The sequence below is a fragment of the Homo sapiens genome, chromosome 1 (assembly GCF_000001405.40).
Source record: "Homo sapiens chromosome 1, GRCh38.p14 Primary Assembly".
Classification (NCBI taxonomy): domain Eukaryota; kingdom Metazoa; phylum Chordata; class Mammalia; order Primates; family Hominidae; genus Homo; species Homo sapiens.
In genome coordinates this window covers 45,550,571-45,574,467 of record NC_000001.11, presented here as the reverse complement: position 1 = coordinate 45,574,467, position 23,897 = coordinate 45,550,571, and the positions used below count along the sequence as shown (strand labels likewise).

Below are 23,897 nucleotides of genomic sequence, written 5' to 3'. Positions count from 1 at the left end.
CAACTCCCTCCAAGACACATTTTTGTCTCAAACTCAATTCCAAGCTTTGGGTCAAAGCCCTAGGAAAGAAGACTGGATCTGAGGGATCCAGAGGCAGAAGATAATGGAAGTTAAAAGGCACAGCACAGGTGAGCGTGGCTGACTCCTGCCAATTAAGCTAAGCTTTCTGTTTCATGGATAAAAGTCATGCTAGTATCCATGGCGTAAATGAAGTCTAGGGAATTCACGGCTACTTACAGCAGGGGAGATAAGGCGTATGTGAGTAGAGTGAATAATTCCCTCCCCCAGCCCCGCTAGTTAACATGGGTAAAAGCCTCTTTAACACCCATGGGTGGCATGCTGTTGCATTCGCCAGGACTCAGGGATACAAGGATGGTGGAAAGAAAGAGGAATGCCTCACTTTCCCTCCCTCACATACCCCAGGTATTTGGTAGGAAGAGAAAGGAACTAGGGGCGCCTGCTTGCCCCTTTCTAGATGAGTAGCCATTCACCTTCAGTTTGTACTCCTTTTGAATGCATCTTGAACTCCTGGGACTCCTTTGAAAAAACACCTTTTTTTTCTCCCCTCAGATAATCCTCCAAATTGAGAAAGAGTTAATTTCCCGAACCTTAAACTGGCTAACTTAGAATTGGGCTCAGAGGAAGGGAACCCAGAAGCCTGACATGCCAGCAAAAGGGTAAAAGTTTTTTTTACCAATTGGGCTTTTGGCCTCCCTCTCCCCATACAAACTGGTAAAAGGCCTCATGATTTTTCACCTGTCCTTACCCTTGTTTTGGTTTGATACATGTTTTCTAATAACCCAGTTTGTCTCTTCTCAGCTTCAGGCCATCAAACTCCAAACAGACATGCAACCAGAGCCTTGGACAATGGCCCCTTCTGCAGGGGACCCTAATATAGGCCTCTGAGGGAGATCTGACTGCCGTCTTCCCAAAACAGCACCCCCTGTCAGCAGGAAGCAGTTAAGATTGGTCTTTGTCCTTAGCCTCACTCTAAGAGCAGTTAGATGTACTTCTTTAGACGGGGGAATGAGACAGCCAAGTATAAAGGGGTTCCCAGAGAACATCTGACTGGCCTGCGCACTGGGAGAATGGGGTGGAGCCATGGAAGTTCATGCTGTTTGCAGTGGGGAGGAGCCTGGCCCCTCCTGTTCCTGTGTGGAACCTGGGATTCAATCTGTGAGATGAGGGCCTGTTAACAGGAACCCCTCTCTTGCTTTGCTGTGTTGTTTTTCCTTTTTCCCCAATAAATTCCATCCCCCTCACCCCTCAAAGTTTCTGCGAGCCTAATCTTTCCTGTTCATGTGACAAGAACCTGGATTTTCCTACAACCACAGTGATTAGACAAAGATGTCTGTTGCTAATTTTTCAGGTAAGTTGTTAACAACAACAAAATAGACATTTGCTATAGAGAATGTTAATGTTAGGCAGGGTGAGATGTTTAAGTCAAGACTAATTTCTGAACAGTCTGGAAACGAAATAAAGTAATCCCATTTACAACAGCTACAAATAAAACCAAATATCTAGGAATGAGCTTAACCAAAGAAAAAATCTCTATAATGAAAACTATAAAACACTGACAAAATAAATTGAAGAGGACACAAAAAAATGGAAAGATATTCCATGTTCATGAATTGGAAGAATCAATATTGTTAAAATGTCCATACTACTGAAAGCAATCTACAGATTCAATGCAATCACTATCAAAATATCAATGACATTCTTTACAGAAATGGAAAAGACAATCATAAAATTTATATGGAACCACAAAAGACCCAGAATAGCCAAAGCTATACTAAGCAAAAAGAACAAAACTGAAGGAATCACATTATCTTACTTCAAATTTTGTTACAGAGCTATAGTAACCAAAACAGCATGGTACTGGCATAAAAACAGACATATAGACCAATGGAACAGAATAGAGGACTCAGAAACAAATCCACACACCTGCAGTGAACTCATTGTCAACAAACGTGCCAAGAACACATACTGGGGAAAAGACAGTCTCTTCAATAAATGGTGCTGGGAAAACAGGATATCCATATGCAGAAGAATGAAACTAGACCCCTATCTCTCACCATATACAAAAATTAAATCAAAATGAATTAAAGACTTAAATCTAAGACCTCGAAATATGAAACAACTGCAAGAAAACACCGGAGAAACTCTCCAGGACATTGATCTGTGTAAAAATTTCTTGAGTAATACCCCACAAGCACAGGCAACCAAAGTAAAAATGGACAAATGGGATCACATCTAGTTAAAAAGCTTCTGTACAGCAAAGGAAACAATCATTAAAGTGAAGAGATAACCCACAGAATGGGAGAAAATATTTGCAAACTATCTCTCTGACAAAGGATTAATAACCAGAGTATATAAGGAAGTCAAACAACTCTATGGGAAAAAATATAATCCAGTGAAAATACACAAAACATTTGAATAGACATTTCTCAAAAGAAGACATACAAATGGAAAACAGGCATATGAAAAGGTGCTCAACATCACGGATCATCAGAAAAATGCAAGTTAAAGCTACAATGAGATATCATCTCACCCCAGTTCAAACGGCTTTTATCCAAAAGACAGGCAATAACAAATGCTGGAGAGGATGTGGAGAAAAGAGAACCCTCAAACACTGTTGGTGGGAATGTAAATTAGTGCAACCACTATGGAGAACATTTTAGAGGTTTCTCAAAAAACTAAAAATAGAGCTACGATATGATCCAGCAATCTCACTGCTGAGTATATACCCAAAAGAAAGGAAATGAGTGTATCAGAGAGATCTGCACTTCCATGTTTGTTGCAGCACTGTTCACAAAGATTTGGAAGCGGCTGGGTGTAGTGGCTCACACGTGTAATCCCAACACTTTGGGAGGCCAAGAATTTAGGAGTCTTGAACCTAGGAGTTCAAAATCAGCCTGGGAGGGCTGACGCCTATAATCCCAGTACTTTGGGAGGCTGAGGCGGGCAGATCACTTGAGGTCAGGAGTTCAAGACCAGCCTGGCCAACACGGGGAAACCCCATCCCTACCAAAAATACAAAAAATTAGCCAGGTGTCATGGCGGGGACTTGTAATCCCAGCTACTCAGGAGGCTGAGGCAGGAGAATCGCTTGAACCAAGGAGGCGGAGGTTGCAGTGAGCCGAGATGGCGCCACTGCACTCCAGCCTGGGTGACAGAGCAAGACTCCATCACAAAACAAACAAACAAAAAACAGCCTGGGCAACATAAGGAGACCTAATCTCTATAAAAATTTAAAATTTTTGTATACTACAGCCTCGGTGACAGAGACCTCAATTCAAAAAATAAATAATAGAAATCTCAACAGTCTTTTAGGCCTTCCAATCATCAGTTCCTACCAATGCCAGCATTGTTTTATGCCATCGCCTCTACCACCAGGTCCCCCTTACTTTTAGTTGCTGTCCTACAAGTCTTCTTTAGGCTTTTCCAGCAGCGTCTTCCAGTTTCAAGACTTTTCCCTAAGCTGTCCAATTTGTATGGAATGCTGTTCCCACTCTTACCTCCTTTAACTAATTAATCCCTATTCATCTTTCAGATCTTAGCTGATTAAATAAGTAGGCTACTCGCCCTGCACTTCTCATAACACTTCTTCCGACTGTAATTAAACTAATTATGCAATTACTTAGTCTGTCTCCTCAAGTAGGCTGTAGGGACTTATGTGTCTTGGTTATAGCTATATCCCCAGGGCTTAGCATCATGCCTAACCCATAAGTACCCAATAAATACTTCTTGAACAAAGAGCAATGGTTTGGGAAAGTAAAGAGTTTCGTGTGACTGGAGGTTAGAGAGATTTGCCATAAACCTTCCTAAAACCTGTTTATCAGTGGTCTCTGGTGCCCACCAATAAAAAGTGCATAAGATAGGGCCTTAGGGGCCGAGTGACAAGGTCTGGGCAGGACTGTTGCCTCCTGCAGGTCACCTATGCACACTGACTATAGTGTCTGATGGAGAAAGCCCCTGTCCCCACCTTTTGTGATTTTGCAAGCTAGGATTCCCTAACTTCTTAATGTAAGTCGCTTGGACTCTTCAAATTACTAAACCTAGGCACTGGTCAGGACAGGGGGATGGAAACTTAAGGCCCAGGTCCAGCACTGCCTTGAAACCAACGGACAATCATTGCCCTGATCGCTCACTCCTGAGGTGGCCAATTTGAGGCATTCTTGAGAAGACTCCAGGGAAGCATGCAGTGCTTAAGATGTGCCAGTAGATGGCGCTACTTCCCAACGTGCCTAATGCAAGGATACAGAATTACTCAGCCTCCTCACAGGTTCCTCCAGAACCAGGATATGAATATTTGGGCTTCAAGGGCAGGTCACATCCAGCAGCCCGAGGTCTGTCATCCCTGAGGGAAACAGCCTCCATCTCAGGCCTGACCAGGCAAATAAGACAAGCAAGCAATATGGATGCTCCAATGGCTTTATTAACTCCCTCTTTCCGTTGTGGCAGGACCTCATTAGCTGCAGAGCTGGAAGGGAGGCCAAGAAGCTGTGGTCTCAGTACGGGTCATTAAAGGGGTACAGAGGATGCCCTGCATCCCTTGGGACTCTCTTCCCATCCACCTGGAAAGAGAGACAGATAGATTACTCCATCAGCAGGAGTTGCCATTCCAAAGACTCCAGGCATCTTCCCCAAATCTTCCTAAACAAACTCACCTGTGTACAGCACTATGCCAGATGGCATTGGCTGGGATCCCCATCCTCAGAGAACACCACAGTATCAACACCATTCTAGCACCAAACCCATAGCCTGATATGTAGCTACCCCTGCCCCTAAGAGTTTGCAGTCTGAACTGAGATCAAGAGGCCAGGAACCATTTATTTCCCTAAGTACAGCCGACTTCCCTCCCAACCCCAATCCCTCGAGTGAGGTCAACAACGCCTTCTGGGCTCTCCTCATATCATTTACTGAGAATCTACTACATGTCAGGAACTGGGCTCATTTTACACATAGGAAGCTGAGGCTTGGAGAAGTTTAATAACTTGCTCTAGGTTACAAGATATCAAGAAGCAGGACTGGGACTCACAGGTTATATGCCTTATCCCTGAGCCATACTACTTCCCTGAGCTCAATAAAGAGAAATGAGGGCACTATGTCCAGCATAGCAATCCCACCCACAACATTGTGTCCTTCTCACAACCAGCAAGCCTTAGGTCACACCTGGGCCAGAATCCCACCCCAAATCTCACATTCCCCAAGTCTAGGAGGCTGATACATCCTCACCGTAAGCATAGGCACAATATATCTCCAATTTTTGTTCAGGGCATTTAGCTGCTTCATCTCTTCTGGGCTAAAGGTGAAGTCAAACACCTGAGGATGGAGAGTGGGGTTCAAGAAAGCCAGCTTTGTGAGCAGAAGCTGGGGTTCCACAACACTGCCTTTTTAGCCAGGTAGAGTCAGGGCCAAGAAAATGTCCCAAAGAGCTAAAGAAGATAGAACCCATTACCAAGTACCTTGATGTTCTGAAGGATTCGAGAAGGAGTGATACTTTTGGGGATGCAGATCACTTTCCGCTGGACCTGCCACCTAAGTTGGGGGATTAGACAGATGAGGAAAAGGGGTCAGTATTCATAAGCACTATTTTGTTCCCCATGCAGCTTCCCTAAGCTCCTGGAGCACCTGAGCCCTGCTGAAATGGGAAATATGCCTACAGTGGCCTCCCTCCAGATCACAAGGCAAGATCCTCAGCCTCACCCAGACACTGAAATAAGAAATCCCTTAACCCTTGCCTCCCAACCCAGGGCCCTCTCCCTAAGACTGCCCCATACCTGAGCAAGATCTGAGCTGGAGATCGGCCATACTTTTCAGCCAATGCCAGGACTACTGGTTCCTCCAGCAGGACAGGCTCATCAGGATCACGCCATGCACGATCAGAGGAGCCCAAAGGGCTATAAGCAGTTACCTCCAGGCCACGTGCTTGGCAGTGGGCAATTAGCTCATTTTGAGCCAAGTATGGGTGGCATTCCACCTGAGCCAAAGAATAACCCATCACCATGAAGTGGTGACACCCAGCTTGCTTGGCCCATCCCAGACATGCATGTCTGGACCACCCCCTATTGCTGACTCCTCCACTCCCCTTCAGCCTGCTTTTCTCACCATTTCCCATCGGCAATTTCATTCTCTCCCACTGCTTCAATGCCCACCTTTATGCAGAGGACTTCTGCACCAACACTCTGACAACTTGCTAGCTATCTCCCTTAAGCAGATCCATCGTCTGCTCCCTCATGCTCTTGAGCAGACAACCCCTAAACCACTCATCTGCTTGCTGTCCTTACCTGCAAGACAGCTGGACGCACGGAGGCCACACTGAGTATGTCATCAATCTGCCGACTGTTGAAGTTGGACAGGCCCAGCGCCTGCACCAGCCCCTTAGCCACCAGTGCCTCCAGAGCCTTCCAAGTCTCCTTGTAGTGGGTGGAGTCGTAGCATATAGTCCCATCAGCATTCTTGGGGAAGGGGTTGTCTCCCCGCCTGAGTGAGAGACAGCCCCACCAAGTGTGGACACAAATGCCAGGCTTCTACCCTACCTGCCCATCCAGCCACTCTATGTCCCAAACTCCAATCCCAGAGAGGACAAAGGGCCAAGAATTTTTAAAAAGCCATGCTTTTTCTTTTTTTTTTTTTTTGAGATGGAGTCTCGCTTTACCGCCCAGGCTGGAGTGCAGTGGCACTATCTCAGCTCACTGCAAGCTCCACCTCCTGGGTTCACGCCATTCTCCTGCCTCAGCCTCCCCAGTAGCTGGGACTACAGGCGCTCACCACCACGCGCAGCTAATTTTTTGTATTTTTAGTAGAGACGGGGTTTCACCGTGTTAGCCAGGATGATCTCGATCTCCTGACCTCGTGATCCGCCCGCCTTAGCCTCCCAAAGTGCTGGGATTACAGGCGTGAGCCACCGCGCCTGGCCAAAAAAAGCCATGCTTTTTCATCCTTCCAGATCGTAACCCAGGTGTTAAGTTTACATGGAATGCCTATGCCCCCTCCTCTTCCTAGACGTAGATATCTCCTCTCCCCTAGGAAGTCTTCCTTAACTCATCCTCAGGGAGTTATCCACCCTTCTTCCAGCACAGGGCACGGCACTAATGGTGAGCTCTTCTCACATCTTCTGCTGAGACTTACTTATTACTGTAACCCCAGGTGCTCAACAGAAAAGTCAGCACCTTTTCTAAATGAATAAAGGGAGCAGGAGGGTTACAGGTGCATACCCTGGGGTACACACCATGTGAGACTGCCTTCCTTTTTCCAGAGTTAAACTCCTGTAGCTACAGCTAAGCTGCTGTAGCAGAAGAGGCTAAGATCCCATGTCAAGCTCCTCAGCTTGGCATGCAAATGAGTGTTCCTATCCTGCTCTGCTGCTGTGACTTACAATAAGTTACTAACACCATCCTGCTCAACCCCCTGATTCCCCAGATGAGGCTCTGGCAAGGCTCACTCAAAGGCATAAGGCCAGTGCATCAGGTACAGGTCCAGATACTCCAGCTGGAGGTCAGCCAGAGTCTTCCGGAGGGCAGGCTCCACATCCTCGGGGTGGTGCTTGGTGTTCCACAGCTTGGATGTCACAAACAGCTCCTCCCGAGGCACCGCCTAGTGCAGGGGGCAGGGCCCACAGTGAGAAGAGCCATGAGCACGTGGTCTCACCCACCCTCAACTCTGGGAGAGGAACTGGAAGGAAGCTGATGCCAGATTCCCTCCAGCTGGGCCCCAGCCCTAGCTTCAGCTTCTAAGTTCTCTTATCCCACCTCTATTTACAACCCCAGTCCTTACCTTGCCTGGTCCCACGTCCTCCTTCAGGGCCTCCCCAATCTCAGGCTCATTGCCGTAGATAGCAGCACAATCAATGTGGCGGTAGCCTACGCTAAGGGCATACTTAACAGCTGCTTTTACCTGCCAGGTGAGAGAAGCAGAGGTTTCAGCTATGTTGGTTTCAGCCTTCTACTGTCACCACCCCAAGGTCAATGCTGGGGGAAGGGGGCTCAGAAATATAACAGGCACATCTATGCAGTGGAGGTGAAAAGATGGAAGATGAACTGGGCGCGGTGGCTCACGCCTGTAATCCCAGCACTTTGGGAGGCTGAGGTGGGCAGATCCCCTGAGGTCAGGAGTTCGAGACCAGCCTGGCCAGCTGGAGGTCAGCCTGGCCAACATGGTGAAACCCCATCTCTGCTAAAAATACAAAATTAGCCAGGTGTGGTGGCAGGTGCCTGTAATCCCAGCTACTCAGGAGGCTGAGGCAGGAGAATCACTTGAACCCAGGAGGCAGAGGTTGCAGTGAGCTGAGATTGTGCCACTGCACTTCAGCCTCGGCAACAAGAGCGAAACTCCATCTCAAAACAAAGAAAGAAAAAAAAAAAGATGGAAGATGGTTTCAGTCTAAGGGACCAGAAGCCTCTTCAGAGGCTCCAAACCCTTTGCTCTGCTCCCACCCCAACCAGTCTCTAAGATGCCTTCCTACCCAAGCCATCTCAGCAAGGTCTAGCAAAAACTAACAATATTTTCCCGGCATCTACCATAAAGAGGGCTTCAGTAAATATTTTTTCAGGCTGAGCACAGTGGCTCACGCCTGTAATCCTAGGACTCTGGGAGGCTGACATGGGAGCATTGCTTGAAGGCAGAAGTTCAAGACCAGCCTAGTCAACATAGTGAGACCCCCACCTCTTTAAAAAAAAAAAAAAAATTAAGGCCAGGCGTGGTGGCTCACGCCTATAATCCCAGCACTTTGGGAAGAAGAGGCAGGTGAATCACCTGAGGTCAGGGGTTTGAGACCAGCCTGGCCAACATGGTGAAATTCTTTTCTCTACTAAAAATACAAAAATTAGCTGTGCATGGTGGCATATGCCTGTAGTCCCAGCTACTCAGGAGGCTGAGATAGGAGAATCGCTTGAACCCAGGCGGGGGAGGCTGCAGTGAGCTGAGATCATGCCACTGCACTTCATCCTGGGCGAGACAGAGTGAGACTCCGTCTCAAAAAAACACAAAAAAAATAACAACAAAAAATTGAAAACAAATTTTTTTTTTTAAATAAAAGCCAGGCGCGGTGGCTCACACCTGTAATCCCAGCACTTTGGGAGGCCGAGGTGGGTGGATCACCTGAGGTCGGGAGTTTGAGACCAGCCTAACCAACACGGAGAAACCCCGTCTCTACTAAAAATACAAAATTAGCTGGGCGTGGTGGTGCATGCCTATAATCCCGGGTACTTGGGAGGCTGAGGCAGGAGAATCGCTTGAACCTGGGAGGTGGAGGTTACAGTGAGCCAAGATCATGCCATTGCACTCCAGCCTGGGCAACAAGAGTGAAACTCCTTCTCAAAAAAAAAAAAAAAAAAAAAAAAATGGCTGGGTGTGGTGGCTCACGCCTGTAGTCCCAGCACTTTGGGAGGCTGAGGTGGGTGGATCATGAGGTCAGGAGATCGAGACCATCCTGGCTAACACGGTGAAACACCGTCTCTACTAAAAATACAAAAAATTAGCTGGGCGTGGTAGGGGGTGCCTGTAGTCCCAGCTACTCAGGAGGCTGAGGCAGGAGAATGGTGTGAACCTAGGAGGCGGAGCTTGCAGTGAGGCGAGATTGCGCCACTGCACTCCAGCCTGGGCGACAGAGCAAGACTCCATCTCAAAAATAAAATTAAATAAATAAATAAATAAATAAAAATTTAAAAATTTTCAAAAATAAATAATTTTTTTTTTCAATCAGAAGACAGATGGATAAATAGAGAAAAGAAGTATAGACCATGGAAACAAGTTCCAGGTTCTAAGGAGCTGGTTAGAGAAACACAGGAAAAAATTCCTAGGCCAAGGACATACAGGGAGTTGTGTAGACAGACTCTGGGAACTCTGGGAGCACAGGCCAGCAAAAGAGGTTAGAAGGGGGAAAAGATTAAGGAAGGCAGATAAGTAGGCTGAAAGCTGGAGGCAGATAAGTGGGCTAAAAGCTGGACCCAGAACTCCCTAATGAGAGAGAAGAAAACAGGCATCAGATAGAAGGATGGGTCAGTTAATTTTGCTAAAATCCAGACTGGAAACACGGCATCAGCAGCAGAAACAAGGGTACCCGGCCCTAGACACAAAGCACCCAAAGCTCTTGTTGTGGGTGCCTGACATAGTATTCAAGATCCCCACCCGGGTGCCGACGTACTTCCCCTAACATCTGACCCCTGCTGTTCCATGCCCCGCCTTGGCCTTGTCTGTGGCCCCCAACCCTCTGCCTTGACCTAGCTCCTGGACTTCTCCGAGGCTGTGAGAAGTGCCTGCCTAAAGCACAGGGACCCTGGCTCCAGGCTCCTTGGCAGCTATAGGAAAGAAAGCAAAAGGGAAAAGAGACACAGGTCATCCAAGCACACCACAAACATCAGTCTAAATCCCAGATAGAAGAATCTGTTCTCTCTGCTGGGGCTTCTCTGAAACTTAATCCCCAAACTTCTCTTCACTCTGACTCAAGATTTCCAAGGAAGAAGGAAGAAGCCCTGGGGAAATGCCCCATTCCAGGCAGGAGCCAAATCTCATAGCTACGTCCACCCTGAGAGAGCAGGTCCATATTCCCAGACTCCCCTCAGCTGGGATGGTCTACACCAGGGGTCAGTCAATTATCAACTTTAACAGTTCTTGAGTTAAGAACTACATTTATATTTTTAAGTGGTTACTTATTTATTTTATTATTATTTTTCTTGGGACGCAGTTTTGCTCTTGTTGCCCAGGCTGGAGTGCAATGGCACGATCTCGGCTCACTGCAACCTCCGCCTCCCGGATTCAAGTGATTCTCCTGCCTCAGACTCCTGAGTAGCTGGGATTACAGGCATGCACCACCACGCCTGGCTAATTTTGCATTTTTAGTAGAGATGAGGTTTCTCCGTGTTGGTCAGGCTGGTCTCGAACTCCCAACCTCAGGTGATCCGCCTGCCTCAGCCTCCCAAAGTGCTGGGATTACAGGCATGAGCCACCACACCCAGCTTAAGTGGTTACATATTAAAAGGTCACATGAGTGTATAATCACCTCCATCTGTAACTTGTCCAATAGAATCTAATTGTTTTTTAACTTTTTTTCCTTAATTTTTCCCCCTAGACGGAGTCTTGCTCTGTTGCCTAGGCTGGAGTGCAGTGGCGTAATTTTGGCTCACTGCAACCTCTGCCTCCCAGGTTCAAGCAATTCTAATGCCTCAGCCTCCCAAGTAGCTGGGATTACAGGTGTGTGCCACCACGCCTGGCTAATTTTTGTATTTTTAGTAGAGACGGGGTTTCACCACGTTGGCCAAGCTGGTCTCGAACTCCTGACCTTGTGATCCACCTGCCTTGGCCTCCCAAAGTGCTGGGATTATAGGCGTGAGCCACAGTGTCCAGCCTACCTTTTTTTTTTTTAAGATGGTCTCGCTCTGTCCAGGCTGGAGTGCAGTGGCATGATCATAGGTCACTGCAGCCTCGACTTCCAGGGCTCCAGCAATCCCCCTAACTCAGTCTCTCAAGTAGCTGGGACCACAGGCGCATTCGAATTTTTTTAATTTTTTGTAGAGACGGGGGTCTCACTGTGTTGCCCAGTCTGGTCTCAAATTCCTGGGCTCAAGCAATCTTCCTGCCTTGGCGTCCCAAAGTGCTGGGATTACAGGTATGAGCCACCACACTTGGCCCTATCTTGTTCTTTAAAAAATAGTTTGTGGCCGGGCAAGGTGGCTCACATCTGTAATCCCAGCACTTTGGGAGGCCAAGGCAGGTGGATCTCCTGAGGTCAGGAGTTCAAGACCAGCCTTGCCAACATGGTAAAACCCTGTCTCTACTAAAAATACAAAAATTAGCCAAGTGTGGTGGCTCATGCCTGTAGCCCCAGCTACTCGGGAGGCTGAGGCAGGAGAATCACTTGAACCCATGAGGCAGAGGTTGCAGTGAGCCAAGATCACGCCACTGCACTCCAGCCTGGGGAACAGAGTGAGACTCGGTTTCAAAAAAAAAAAAAAGTTTGCTGGGCCCGTGTGTTAGTGTGTGCCTGTGGTCCCAGCTACTCAGGAGGCTGAGGTGGGAGGGTCACTTGAGCCCAGGAGGTCAAGGCTGCCGTGAGCCAAGATTGTGCCACTGCACTCCAGCCTGGGCAACAGAGCGAGACCCTGTCTCGAGTAAAAAAAAAAAAAAAAAAAAAAAAATTTGCTGACCTTTGGTCTATACAATATACAATTCACCTAGTTATTCTTCAAACCTTGACACCTGCTATGTGCCTAATTCTGGACTGAGCAGTAGGGAGAGGCTGAGCCCTCAAAGAACCCAGTGTGGGAGAGGAGACATGATCACAGCACAGGGTGATAACTGCCATATTAGGGGTCATAGCATAGGGATGGGCACAGAGGGGCCCCATGTTTGCCACAGCACTCAGTGCAGATCCAGTTAGAGAAAGATGTCCTTCCTATGCCCCCAGCCCTGCTGGGCCCCTCAGCCCACTCTCTGAGTCAGCTGGGGAAGCCCAGGATGTATAATTGGTGTCTTCTCTTATCTCTTCCCACTGGCTCATCCCCGCTGGAAGGGGAGTATGGGGGTGGGGCTGCTAGGAAAATGCAGGCAGAGGCTCAACAAGTTTCTTTTTTCTTCCCCCATCCCTCACCTGACCAGGCTCACTCTTCCAGGTACCCAGACCAATCAGAGGCATCTTCTGCCCAGTGTGCAGTAGAACACAGGAAGCCGCCATTGCCCCCTGAAACACAGATGGGAAGAGAATGGTGTTGGGGTTAGTGCTGTTGTTCAGGTCTCAGATTTCCACTGTCAAGAATACTGCAAAGCGCCAAGTGCAGTGGCTCACACCTGTAATCCCAGCACTTTGGGAGGCTGAGGCGGGCAGATCACCTGAGGTCAAGAGTTCAAGACCAGTTGGGTCAACATGGTAAAACCCCATCTCTACTAAAAATACAAAAATTATCTAGGCATGGTGGCGCGCACCTGTAGTCCCAGCTGCTCGGGGGGCTGAGGCACAAGAATCACTTGAACCTGGGAGGTGGAGGTTGCAGTTAGCTGAGATTGCGCCACTGCACTCCAGCCTGGGTGACAGAGTAAGACTCTGTCTCACTACTACAAAGCATGGGCCGGGAAGAGGGGACAGATGTGTAGGACAAACACGTGGTTATATATGTGCCTGTGAGCAAAGGCAGCAGAGACAGGGTGCCCAAAACCAACCATGGCCAGTAGCTCCTGGACAAACACTAACCAGACCACCAGCCTGGCTGCCCTTCTCTGTGGCAGGCTAAAGATCTCTGTTAAAGAACTGCACTATCTAAAAACAAAAGCAGGGTGGCCACACAGAAGCACCCAGTCTTGACTAAATAAGGTCTCAAGCCAGTGTAAGGCAGGCAAAGGCCATTATGAGAGAGAGACCAGGTAACTGAATAGGCCCAGGAAGGGGCCACTTCTCTGAGAATGAAATAAATGTTCCCAGGAGGTTGTCAGAACTACAGAGATTCTCGGCCAGGCACGGTGGCTCACGCCTGTAATCCCAGCACTTTGGGAGGCCGAGGCGGGTGGATCACGAGGTCAGGAGATCGAGACCATCCTGGCTAACTCAGTGAAAGACCATCTCTACTAAAAATACAAAAAATTAGCCAGGCGTGGTGGCGGGTGCCTGTAGTCCCAGCTACCTGGGAGGCTGAGGCAGGAGAATCACTTGAACCCAGGAGGCGGAGGTTGCAGTGAGCTTAGATTGCACCACTGCACTCCAGCCTGGGCAACAGAGCGAGACTTTGTCTCAAAAAAAAAAAAAAAAAAAAGAACTGCAGAGATTCTCCAAGTACCTTTCACAGAGGTCTGGTCAGCCATGCTGGTAGGCCCGAGTGGGCTCCTGCAAGGGAGGTAAAGGGAGTCCTAAAAAAGGAACTCTTTTTTAGACTCAGGGTCTGGTTCTGTCTCCTAGGTTGGAGAACAGTGGTGTGATCATGGCTCACTGCAGCCTTGAACTCCTAAGCTCAAGTGATATTCCTGCCTCACCCTTCCAAGTAGCTGGGACTACAGGCCTGTGCCAGCACACCTGGATGTTTTTAAACTTTTTTAGAGATGGTTCTGGCTAGGTTGCCCAGGCTGGTCTTGAACTTCTGACCTCAAGCTATCCAGCCACTTCAGCACCCTGAGTTGCTGGGATTACAGGTATGAGCCACCATATCCAGATCTTTAATTTTTTAGTTGAGAAAATAGGCTCAAAGAAGTGAAGTTAGACCGGGCGCTGTGCCTCACACCTGTAATACAAGCACATAGGAAGGCCAAGGCAGGCAAATCACTTGAGGTCAAAAGTTAGAGACCAGCCTGGCCAACAGAGTGAAACCCCATTTCTACCAAAAAATACAAAAATTAGCTAGGCGTGGTGGCATGCACCTGTAGTCCCAGCTATGGAGGCTGAGGCGGGAGAATCGTTTGAACCCGGGAGGCGGAGGTTGCAGTGAGCCAAGATTGCGCCACTGCACTCCAGCCTGGGCGACACAGCCAGACTCCATCTCAAAAAAAAAAAAAAGTGAAGTTATTTGCTCCAAATCAACAGCTAAGAAGTGGCAAAACTGGCTGGGCACAGTGGCTCACGCCTGTAATCCCAGCACTTTGGGAGGTTGAGGTGGGCGGATCACAAGGTCAAGAGATCGAGACCAGCCCTGGTCAACATAGCGAAACCCCGTCTCTACTAAAAATAGAAAAATTAGCCGGGCATGGTGGCGGGTGCCTATAATCCCAGCTACTTACTTGGGAGGCTGAGGCAGGAGAATTGCTTGAACCCGGGAGGCGGAGGTTGCAGTGAGCTGAGATCATGCCACTGCACTCCAGCCTGGGTGACAGAGGGAGACTCCGTCTCAAAAAAAAAAAAAAAAAAAAAAAAAAAGAAAAGAAAAGAGAAAAGAAGTGGCAAAACCAAGGATCTAAGGAGGAGCTAATGGAAAAAAGGCAAATAAACACAGACCTATAAAAAGATACTCATGGTAGACACAAGTATGATGTACTACAGAAAAGGGCAAGGACAAAGAAATATTGACACTGGTTTTTAAGAATTCCCAAGAGTTAAGGGGAAGAACTCTTTCCAGGAAAGGAAACTATACACATGACTTCAGTGCAGCAGAAAAGTAACTAATTACAGATACAAGTAAATTTCCAACCAAACAAAGCAGGTAACTGGAGCCTCCCCCTCTGGAAAGCTATGCAAATAAGAGGTCACCAAATGGCCCAAGAATACTCGTTTTGTCAGTAAATTGAATGTTCCAACTCTTGTGCTAAACCCAAGAGAAAAATGTATTTAAATATTTAAACTGCCTTCCTTCAGTTTATGGTCTTGTAATGGGAACAGGTGATATCAGTACACTGTGATAAGAGCTTTGATCAAATTCTGCACAAGAGCTGCACAAGGGTGGCAAGAAAAGGGTAACCTTGCTAGGATGGCTTCTTGGAGGAATCTCTTCCTGAGTCAAGTCCTAAAGAATAACTGAACAGGAGCTATTCAAGTGAAAGAAAAGGAGAGAGAATGTTCACACCAAGAGCCAATGAGGTAGATACAACCTTTTCCCTTGATCTCATCAGTACCATGAATATCACTCTTGGGATTGATTTAATTGCCAACAATATCTTTATAAATATAATCTTAGTTTCCAGGTTCTAAAAGGATGTAGGATAGAGCAAGTAATAAGACAAGCTGTGGCCAGGAGTGGTGGCTCACACCTGTAATCCTAGCACTCTGGAAGGCCGATGCGACGGATCACCTGAGGTCAGGGTATTACCAGCCTGGCCAACATGGCGAAACCCCATCTTTACTGAAAATACAAAAATTAGGCCGGGTTTGGTGGCTTACACCTGTAATCCCAGCACTTTGGGAGGCCGAGGAGGGCAGATCACGAGGTCAGGAGTTCGAGACCAGCCTGACCAACATGGTGAAACCCCGTCTCTCCTAAAAATACAAAAATTAGCCGGGCATGGTGGCACATGCCTGTGGTCCCAGATACTCAGAAGGCTGAGACAGGAGGAATCGCTTGAACTCGGGAGGTGGAGGTTGCAGTGAGCCGAGATTGAGCCACTGCACTCCGGCTTGGGTGACAGAGCAAGACTCCATCTCAAAAAAAAAAAAAAAAAAAAATTAGCTGGGCGTGGTGGCACATGCCTGTAATCTCAGCTACTTGGGAGGCCAAGACATGAGAATCACCTGAACCCGGGAGGCGGAGGTTGCAGTGAGCTGATATAGTGCCACTGCACTCCAGTCTGGGTAACAGAGCGAGACCCTGTCTCAAAAAATAATAATAATAATAAGACAAGTTGAGGCTGGGTACAGTGGCTAACGTCTGTAACCCCAGCACTTTGGGAGGCCGAGGCAGGCAGATCACTTAAGACTTGAGGTCAGGAGTTCGAGACCAGCCTGGCCAACAAGGCGAAACCCCCTCTCTACTAAAAATACAAAAATTAGCTGGACATGGTGGTGCACACCTTAATCCCAGCTACTCGGGTGGCTGAGGCAGGAGAATCGCTTGAACCCAGGAGGCAGAGGTTGCAGTGAGCTGAGATCATGCCACTGCACTCCAGCCTGGGATACAGAGTGAGGCTCCATCTCAAAAAAAAAAAAAAAGACAAGTTGTGAGTAAAGCCAGTACACCAACACTGTCTTTCCTAATACTTCTGACCCAGGAAGAATTTTATAGTCTAGTTTAAGTTGGTTTTGGAAACCACTCTTTTCTGCTAAAACAAAATCAAAACTTCAATCTGAGTGTCAAACCACAAGCTACCAGGGCAATGCTCTTTATAATCAAATTTCCAAGGGATCAAGCAAGCAAGTCTGGACTTGACAAGAGGAACCTGGTGGCCTGCTGCCACCAGGGTCTAAGGCAGGTTTCCTGGGCTTAATGCCCAATGACCTGTTGGCCTCTCGCAGATTACCCAGCACGCATGAGAAGGCTCTGAAATTACACCTGGGGTGAGAGCTTGAACAACACCCTGGCTTAAGGGGAAAAGGAAGAAGAAACCTGAATCTTGCTTCTCCCTTTCTTTTGCTGGTGAAACTGAACACCGAAAAGGCTGAGGCTTGGGGAACAGGGATGAAAGATGGAGGAGATCTGCAAAGAACAAGAGCTCCCTAGGGAAGAATGAAGGTGCCACATAGATGTTTTTCTCTAGGACAGAAAATCATCCTCGGCCAGCTCTTGACTTCCTCATCTTCTGCTTGATACAACTGCTTTCCAGCCTAGCTGTGCGTGAACAGATTCCAGACTCTGAGCTTGTCAGGAACTGCCTATCTGGACCTTTGGCAGCATTCAGAAACCCTCATGTTATCTTTTTTATTTTTATTTTTTTGAGATAGAGTTTCATTCTTGTCACCCAGGCTGGGGTGCAATGGCGCGATCTTGGCTCACTGCAACCTCCACCTCCTGGGTTCAAGCGATTCTCCTGCCTCAGCCTCCCCAGTAGCTGGGATTACAGGCATGTGCCACCACGCCCAGCTAATTTTTGTATTATTAGTAGAGACAGGGTTTCACCATGTTGGCCAGGCTGGTCTTGAACTCCTGACCTCAGGTGATCCACCAGTCTCAGCTTTTCAAAGTGCTGGGATTACAGGCATGAGTCACTGTGCCCAGCCTATCTTTTACTTTATTTATTTATTTTGTTTGAGATGGAGTTTCACTCTTCTTGCCCAGGCTGGAGGGCAATGACGCAATCTTGGCTCACCACAACCTCCACCTCCCAGGTTCAAGCGATTCTCCTGCCTCAGCCTCCCGAGTAGCTGGGACTACAGGCGCCCGCCACCACGCTCGGCTAATTTTTGTATTTTTAGTACAGACGGGGTTTCACTGTATTGGCCAGGCTGGTCTCGAACTCCTGACCTTGTGATCCACCCACCTCGGCCTCCCAAAGTGCTGGGATTACAGGCGTGAGCCACTGCGCCCGGCTATCCTTTTTTTCTTTTAAGACGGAGTCTTGCTCCGTCACCCAGGCTGGAGTACAGTGGCACGATCTTGGCTCACTGCAACCTCCACTTCCCAGGTTCAAGTGATTCTCTTGCCTCAGACTCCAGAGTAGCTGGGATTACAGGCGCCCACCACCACACCTGGCTAATTTTTTGTATTTTTAGTAGAGACGGGGTTTCACCATGTTGGGTAGGCTTGTCTCAAACTCCTGACCTCAAGCAATCCACCCACCTCGGCCCAATGTGCTGGGATTACAGGCGCGAGCCGCCGCGCCCGGCGGAAACCTTCATGTTATATTCAAGTGTAAAAGAGAGATGTGTGGGTTGAGTGGGGAGGAGGGTATTATCAGGAATCAGGTTTTATTATTTCCAATTCAATGCCTAGGTTCCTTCCCTCTGTTGAATTCTTTCTTTCTCAAAGGGCTCTACAGTTGCTGCCTGGCTGCAGGGAAGTAGAAGACACAGGAAAAAAAGGAAACAATATCTACATGAGTGTTTCCTAGCTGCATGGGCCTCTCCTCTGGCTCCCACATATGCTGGTGTGGGAGGCAAAGGAAAGGTCCCTTCAGGGTTTTCTCCTCAATCTTCTCATTCCCTAGTTGAGTTCATGTCTTCGGTTATCGCCTTAGGCCTTGATTCTTCTCACCCCACTTCTGTATATTCAACGCCCTCTGGACCTCTCCACTAGTATGTATAGGCATCTGAGATTCGCCATGTCCAAAACTGTACTCATCAAATCCAGCAGTAGAGTACAGAGGAAACAGTTTAGGCTGTGGGGCTACGCAGACCTGGGTTTGAATCTCAGTTCTGATATTTTCAAGAGATACTATATCTAAAGCACCTTGCACAGGGCCTAACCCATGCTCTTCTTTCTGTATAGTCATCCCGTGGTATCCACAGGAGATTGGTTCCAGGACCCCTTCAGATACCAAAATCCTGGGATGCTCCAGTCCCTTATATAAAATGGCATAGTATTTGCATAAACCTAAGTACATCTTCCTGTATATTTTAATCAACTCTAAATACTTATAATTCCTAATACAATATAAATGCTAAATGCTAGGTAAATAGGTGTTATAATTTTTTTTTTTTTTAGACACAGTTTCACTCTTGTTGCCCAGGCTGGAATGCAACGGCGCAATGTCGGCTCACCGCAACCTCCGCCTCCTGGGTTCAAGTGATTCTCCTGCCTCAGACTCCCGAGTAGCTGGGATTACAGGCATGCGCCACCACGCCTGGCTAATTTTGTATTTTTAGTAGAGACAGGGTTTCTCCATGTTGGTCAGGCTGGTCTCGAACTCCCGACCTCAGGTGATCCACCCACCTTGGCCTCCCAAAATGCTGGGATTACAGGCGTGAGCTACCACGCCCGGCCTATACTGTATTTTTTTATTTGAATTTTTAAAGTTGGTTTTTGTTCCCAAGTATTTTTGATTCTAGGTTGAATCCGCAGATGCACAACTTGTGGATAGAGTGTTGACTTTGTACTCTATCTCACCAAAAGACCAAAGCCCTGGATAACAAGTGTTAAAGCAAACCAGACAACATGTTGATAGTATAATCCATTTGGGCCTTAAAAAAAAACATCTGGTTGCGTGTGGTGGCTCATGCCTGTTAATCCCAGCACTTTGGGAGGCTGAGGCAAGCAGATTGCTTGAGTCCAGGAGTTCGAGACCAGCCTGGGGGACATGGCAAAACTTAATCTCTACAAAAAATATGAAAATTAGCCAGGCATAGTGATGTGTCTCTATGGTCCTAGCTACTCAGGGGGCTGAGGCAGGAGGATCCCTTGAGCCTGGGGGGCAGAGGTTGCAATGAGCTGAAATCACACCACTGCACTCCAGCTTGGGCCACAGACTGAAACCCTGTCTAAAAAATAAATAAATAAAAGCCATCTAAAGAAAGTATTTGTAGTTCCTTGCAGGCATTTATGAGTATTATCAGATTATGGTTTTGATAAGTAGTTGGTGAGGAGAGTATTTTCTCCTGTACTTTTCTTTTTGAGACAGGGTCTCACTCTGTTGCCCAGGCTGGAGTGCAGTGGCCCATTCATGGCTCATTGCAGCTTCGAACTCCTGGACTGGAGCAATCCCGAGTAGCTGGGACTACAGGCACATGTCACCACACCCAGCTTATTTATTTACTTATTTATTGAGACAGAGTCTCGCTCTAACGTCCAGGCTGGAGGGCAGTGGTGTGATCTCAGCTCACTGCAAACTCCACCTCCCAAGCTCAAGCTATCCTTTCCATTCAGCCTCCCAGGTAGCTGGGACTAGAAGCATGGGCCACGATGTCCAGCTCATTTTTTGTGTTTTTCGTAGAGACAGGGTTTCTCCTTGTTGCCCAGGCTGGTCTGAAACTCCTGGGCTCAAGTGGTCCTTCTGCCTCAGCCTCCCAAAGTGCTGGGATTATAAGTGTGAGCCACTATGCCTGGCCTTATTTTTCTTTTGTAGAGATAGGGTCTCACTGTGTTGCCCCCTCAAACTTCTAGCCTCAAGTGACCCTCCCACCTTGGCCTCCTAAAGTGCTGGGATTACAGGTGTGAGCCACCACACCTGGCTTTCTCCTATACTTCTTTTTTTTTTTGAGACGGAGTCTCGCTCTGTCACCCAGGCTGGAGGGCAGTGGCGTGATCTCGGCTCACTGCAAGCTCCGCCTCCCGGGTTCATGCCATTCTCCTGCCTCAGCCTCCCGAGTAGCTGGGACTACAGGTGCCCGCTACCATGCCCAGCTAATTTTTTTGTATTTTTTAGTAGAGACAGGGTTTCACCATGTTAACCAGGATGGTCTCGATCTCCTGACCTCGTGATCCGCCCACCTCAGCCTCCCAAAGTGCTGGGATTACAGGCATGAGCCACCACACCCGGCCTCTCCTATACTTCTAGAAAAGCCAGCTTGGAAAATCACCTTACATATGTAATGTTGGCCAGATTTTGTCAGTTTAGCTGGGTTTTAAATCTTGTTAATACTTAATAGCTACAGAAAAAGAGAATGCTCTAATATGTAACCTAAGACCTAAGATTGCAATAATGCTTCCTGTACTTCTTGATGTATGTGAAAAGAATTTTAAAATATATATTCCTAAATCTTTCTCTAGTCCATCCATATCTACCTCCACTGCCACTGCCCCATCTCTGACCACCACCACTCTTTTTTTTTTGAGACAGAGTCTCGCTCTGTCGCCAGGCTGGAGTACAGTGGTGTGATCTCGGCTCACTACAACCTTCGCCTTCCAGGTTCAACCGATTCTCCTGCCTCAGCCTCCCCAGTAGTTGGGACTACAGGCGCATGCCACCACACCCAGCTAATTTTTGTATTTTTAGTAGAGACGGGGTTTCACCATGTTGGCCAGGATGGTCTCCATCTCTTGACCTCGTGATCTGCCCGCCTCAGCCTCCCGAAGTGCTGGTATTATAGGCATAAGCCACTGTGCCCAGCCTTTTTAAATTTTTTTTTGAGACAGAGTCTCACTCTGTTGCCCAGGCTGGAATGCAGTGGCATGATCTCGGCTCACTGCAATCTCTGCTTCCCGGGTTCAAGTGATTCTCCTGCCTCAGCCTCCCCAGTAGCTGGGATTATAGGTGTGTGCCACCACACCCAGCTACTTTTTGTATTTTTAGTACGGAGAGGGTTTCACCATGTTGGCCAGGCTGGTCTCGAACTCCTGACCTCAGGTGATCCACCCACCTTGGCCTCCCAAAGTGCTGGGATTACAGGCATGAGCCACTGTGCCCAGCTGACCATCACTCTTTACTTAAACCACAGATCTTGGCTTCCAGAGTGGTCCCTCTTCCCGCAGTCCATCACCAGATCCAACCATGTGACTCCCAGTCTCAAACCCTTCCAGCAATTCTCCCCTATATTCAGGATAAAGTCCAGGCTTCTCAAAACCTGGCTTCTATCTTTCTCATTTCACCACCTCCTCATGTCAGACTGTATTCCAGACTTTGAACACTCAACAGGGTCACATCACTTACCTGACTCTAGGTGTGTGCACTTTCCTTCCCCAAACCCTACCTTTGCCTGGCTAGCTGCTGCTCATCCTTCAGCTAGCACTTCACATTTCTGGCTCCTTTCCAGGTGCAGTGGCTCATACATGTAATCTCAGCACCTGGGCAGGCTGAGGCGGGAGGATCACTTGAAACCTGGGCAACAAAAGGAAACACTGTCTCTACAAAAATTTGTTTTTTTCTTTCTGAGTCTGCTTGCTAGGGGGAATTTTTTTTTTTTTATTTTAAAGATTAACTGGGCACAGTGGCATGTAGTTTATAGTCCAAAGGCTGAGGTGGCAGGATTATTTGAGCCCAGAAGTTTGAGGCTGCACTGAGCAAGGATTCCACCACTACACTCCAGCATGGGCAAAAGACCGAGAGACCCCCATCCATCTCTAAAAAGAAAATAAATAAATAAATAAATGGATGGCTACTTCCATGTACTGATAGCATGTGCACATCACTACATTTTTCTGTTTATATATAAATTTCCCCCACAAACCTGGCTACTCCTTGAGGTCTGAGCCTGTCATCTGCCTGAACCCCTCACTCCTAGAGTACCTGTCCCATACATACATACATACATACATACATACATACATACATACAATGTACACAATACACACACCACACACACACAGCTTATGGGGGAGAGATCTTGACAGGTTGAGTTTGGCCAGCTGGAAGGACATTTGAGGAAGTCGCTGCCTCTGTCACCTTCTTCCTTTACCTGTTGGAAAACCTGAAAAGAATCCTCTTGGAGAATATCAAAGCACTTTACTATACTCGGCAAAAAATCCCAGTGGACCAGATAGAATCATACTGAGATTGCTCCTGTATTAAAGATAAGGAAACAGATCTTGGAAAAGTAACAGGCCTGCAGCCCTGAGTATGAACGATCTGAAGGGGAAGAGTTAATTAACAGTAGCCTCATCCAGTGAAGGTTCAGATCTGTGTCTTACTTTAACAGAGTTCTGGGGCAACAGAATAACATGTCAGACTTTCTCAGACCCAAAGCAGGTGTCTAAGTAAGAGAATTATCCCCACTTCTCCCCACTTCTGAGAACTATCCCTGCACCTGCATAAGAAAGCCGGAGCAGCTGGAAAAAGCACATAGGTGAGCAAACAAAAAGATGGCAATTAAAACTTGCAGATCACCTAGTATGCGCTGTGCGCCTTCAAAGCTTTATCTCAATTCTTGCTACAGTTCTAATGTAGGACCTCATTTTATTGCTGAGGAAACAGGTTCAGAGAAACTGGGAAGTTAGCAAGAGATCATACAGAGAAAAAGAAGAGCTCAAATCCGAAACCAAGTCTCGTCCCCTCCAGTGCTCTGCGCTCTCCACTCAACCCCAGGGGCTTACATTTCAGTAGTAAAGAATCGAGGCCATCTCCTCCGGGAGAAAGATAGGCCAGCAGCAAGAGAAACTCACCTTGGCACAAGCACAGAGCGTGAATAGGGTACTGTGGCCTGGGCTCAGTTCTGCACCCCGCCAGAGATCCAACGATCCTCAGCTTAAGTCTGGCGGTGAGGGGGAAGTTCCACCCGGAGGGAGGGGCAGGGGCCGGGCATAAAGGATCACGCGCAGGGTGGACCGCCTTCGCCGCCTCCCGAGGAAGGACCTGAAGGGGATGGAAAACAGAGCTGGGAGGTAGTACCGTCTCCACCTCTGGATCCTCGAGGTCGAACTGGCCGGAACTTGGTCACTCACTCCGCAGCGCGGGTTTGGAGAACTCCTGGGCACAATGAGGCAGGTGGCGCTGGCCACGTGGGCGGTGCAAGGGGCGGGGCCAGCCTCGCCTTTTGCTGGCCCACATTGCACCGCGCGCCTAGGCGCCGCCGCAGGCGCTTTTCCGGGGGAAGTAAGGTAGCAGATGCCACGTTGCAGGTTCTTCTGGTGTCGGCCCTCCGGATTCACAATGCCATCCGTGGCTCCATACTCTCCCTAAAGTCAGGTTGGCTGGATTCCCAAAGTTCACCTAAGTTGGCCCCGTTACATTTAGTTCAAGCAAACTGA

The 23,897-nt window shown here is 47.9% G+C and overlaps 1 protein-coding gene across 7 annotated transcripts, besides 4 other annotated features; it reads right to left on the bottom strand.

Annotated features, from left to right (window-relative positions):
• Window positions 1–4,418: 4,418 nt before the first annotated feature.
• AKR1A1 (aldo-keto reductase family 1 member A1) lies at window positions 4,419–23,642 on the bottom strand. Of its 7 annotated transcripts, NM_001202414.2 has the most exons (11): window positions 23,592–23,642; window positions 23,313–23,502; window positions 21,905–22,032; window positions 12,590–12,679; window positions 7,780–7,899; window positions 7,448–7,599; window positions 6,291–6,486; window positions 5,784–5,983; window positions 5,469–5,541; window positions 5,239–5,325; window positions 4,419–4,577 (listed from the first exon to the last, which is right to left on the bottom strand). In NM_001202414.2, exons 4-11 carry the CDS (start codon window positions 12,671–12,673, stop codon window positions 4,512–4,514), a joined length of 978 nt encoding a protein of 325 aa, NP_001189343.1. In that variant the 5' UTR covers window positions 12,674–12,679; window positions 21,905–22,032; window positions 23,313–23,502; window positions 23,592–23,642; the 3' UTR covers window positions 4,419–4,511. The 7 variants fall into 7 exon arrangements, with proteins under 7 accessions (NP_001189343.1, NP_006057.1, NP_001189342.1 ...); NM_006066.4 differs by having other exon boundaries at window positions 23,313–23,642; NM_001202413.2 differs by lacking the exon at window positions 21,905–22,032.
• Window positions 16,925–17,670: an enhancer, noted in NCBI's record as "H3K27ac-H3K4me1 hESC enhancer chr1:46022470-46023215 (GRCh37/hg19 assembly coordinates)". NCBI's record gives its function as "activates a minimal SCP1, AML or CMV promoter by ChIP-STARR-seq in primed H9 embryonic stem cells {active_cell/tissue: H9 hESC(primed)}" and the evidence as "EXISTENCE:reporter gene assay evidence [ECO:0000049][PMID:30033119]".
• Window positions 17,671–18,417: an enhancer, noted in NCBI's record as "H3K4me1 hESC enhancer chr1:46021723-46022469 (GRCh37/hg19 assembly coordinates)". NCBI's record gives its function as "activates a minimal SCP1, AML or CMV promoter by ChIP-STARR-seq in naive H9 embryonic stem cells {active_cell/tissue: H9 hESC(naive)}" and the evidence as "EXISTENCE:reporter gene assay evidence [ECO:0000049][PMID:30033119]".
• Window positions 23,170–23,389: an enhancer, noted in NCBI's record as "active region_979". NCBI's record gives its function as "activates an Ori minimal core promoter by ATAC-STARR-seq in GM12878 lymphoblastoid cells {active_cell/tissue: GM12878}" and the evidence as "EXISTENCE:reporter gene assay evidence [ECO:0000049][PMID:35858748]".
• Window positions 23,620–23,849: an enhancer, noted in NCBI's record as "active region_978". NCBI's record gives its function as "activates an Ori minimal core promoter by ATAC-STARR-seq in GM12878 lymphoblastoid cells {active_cell/tissue: GM12878}" and the evidence as "EXISTENCE:reporter gene assay evidence [ECO:0000049][PMID:35858748]".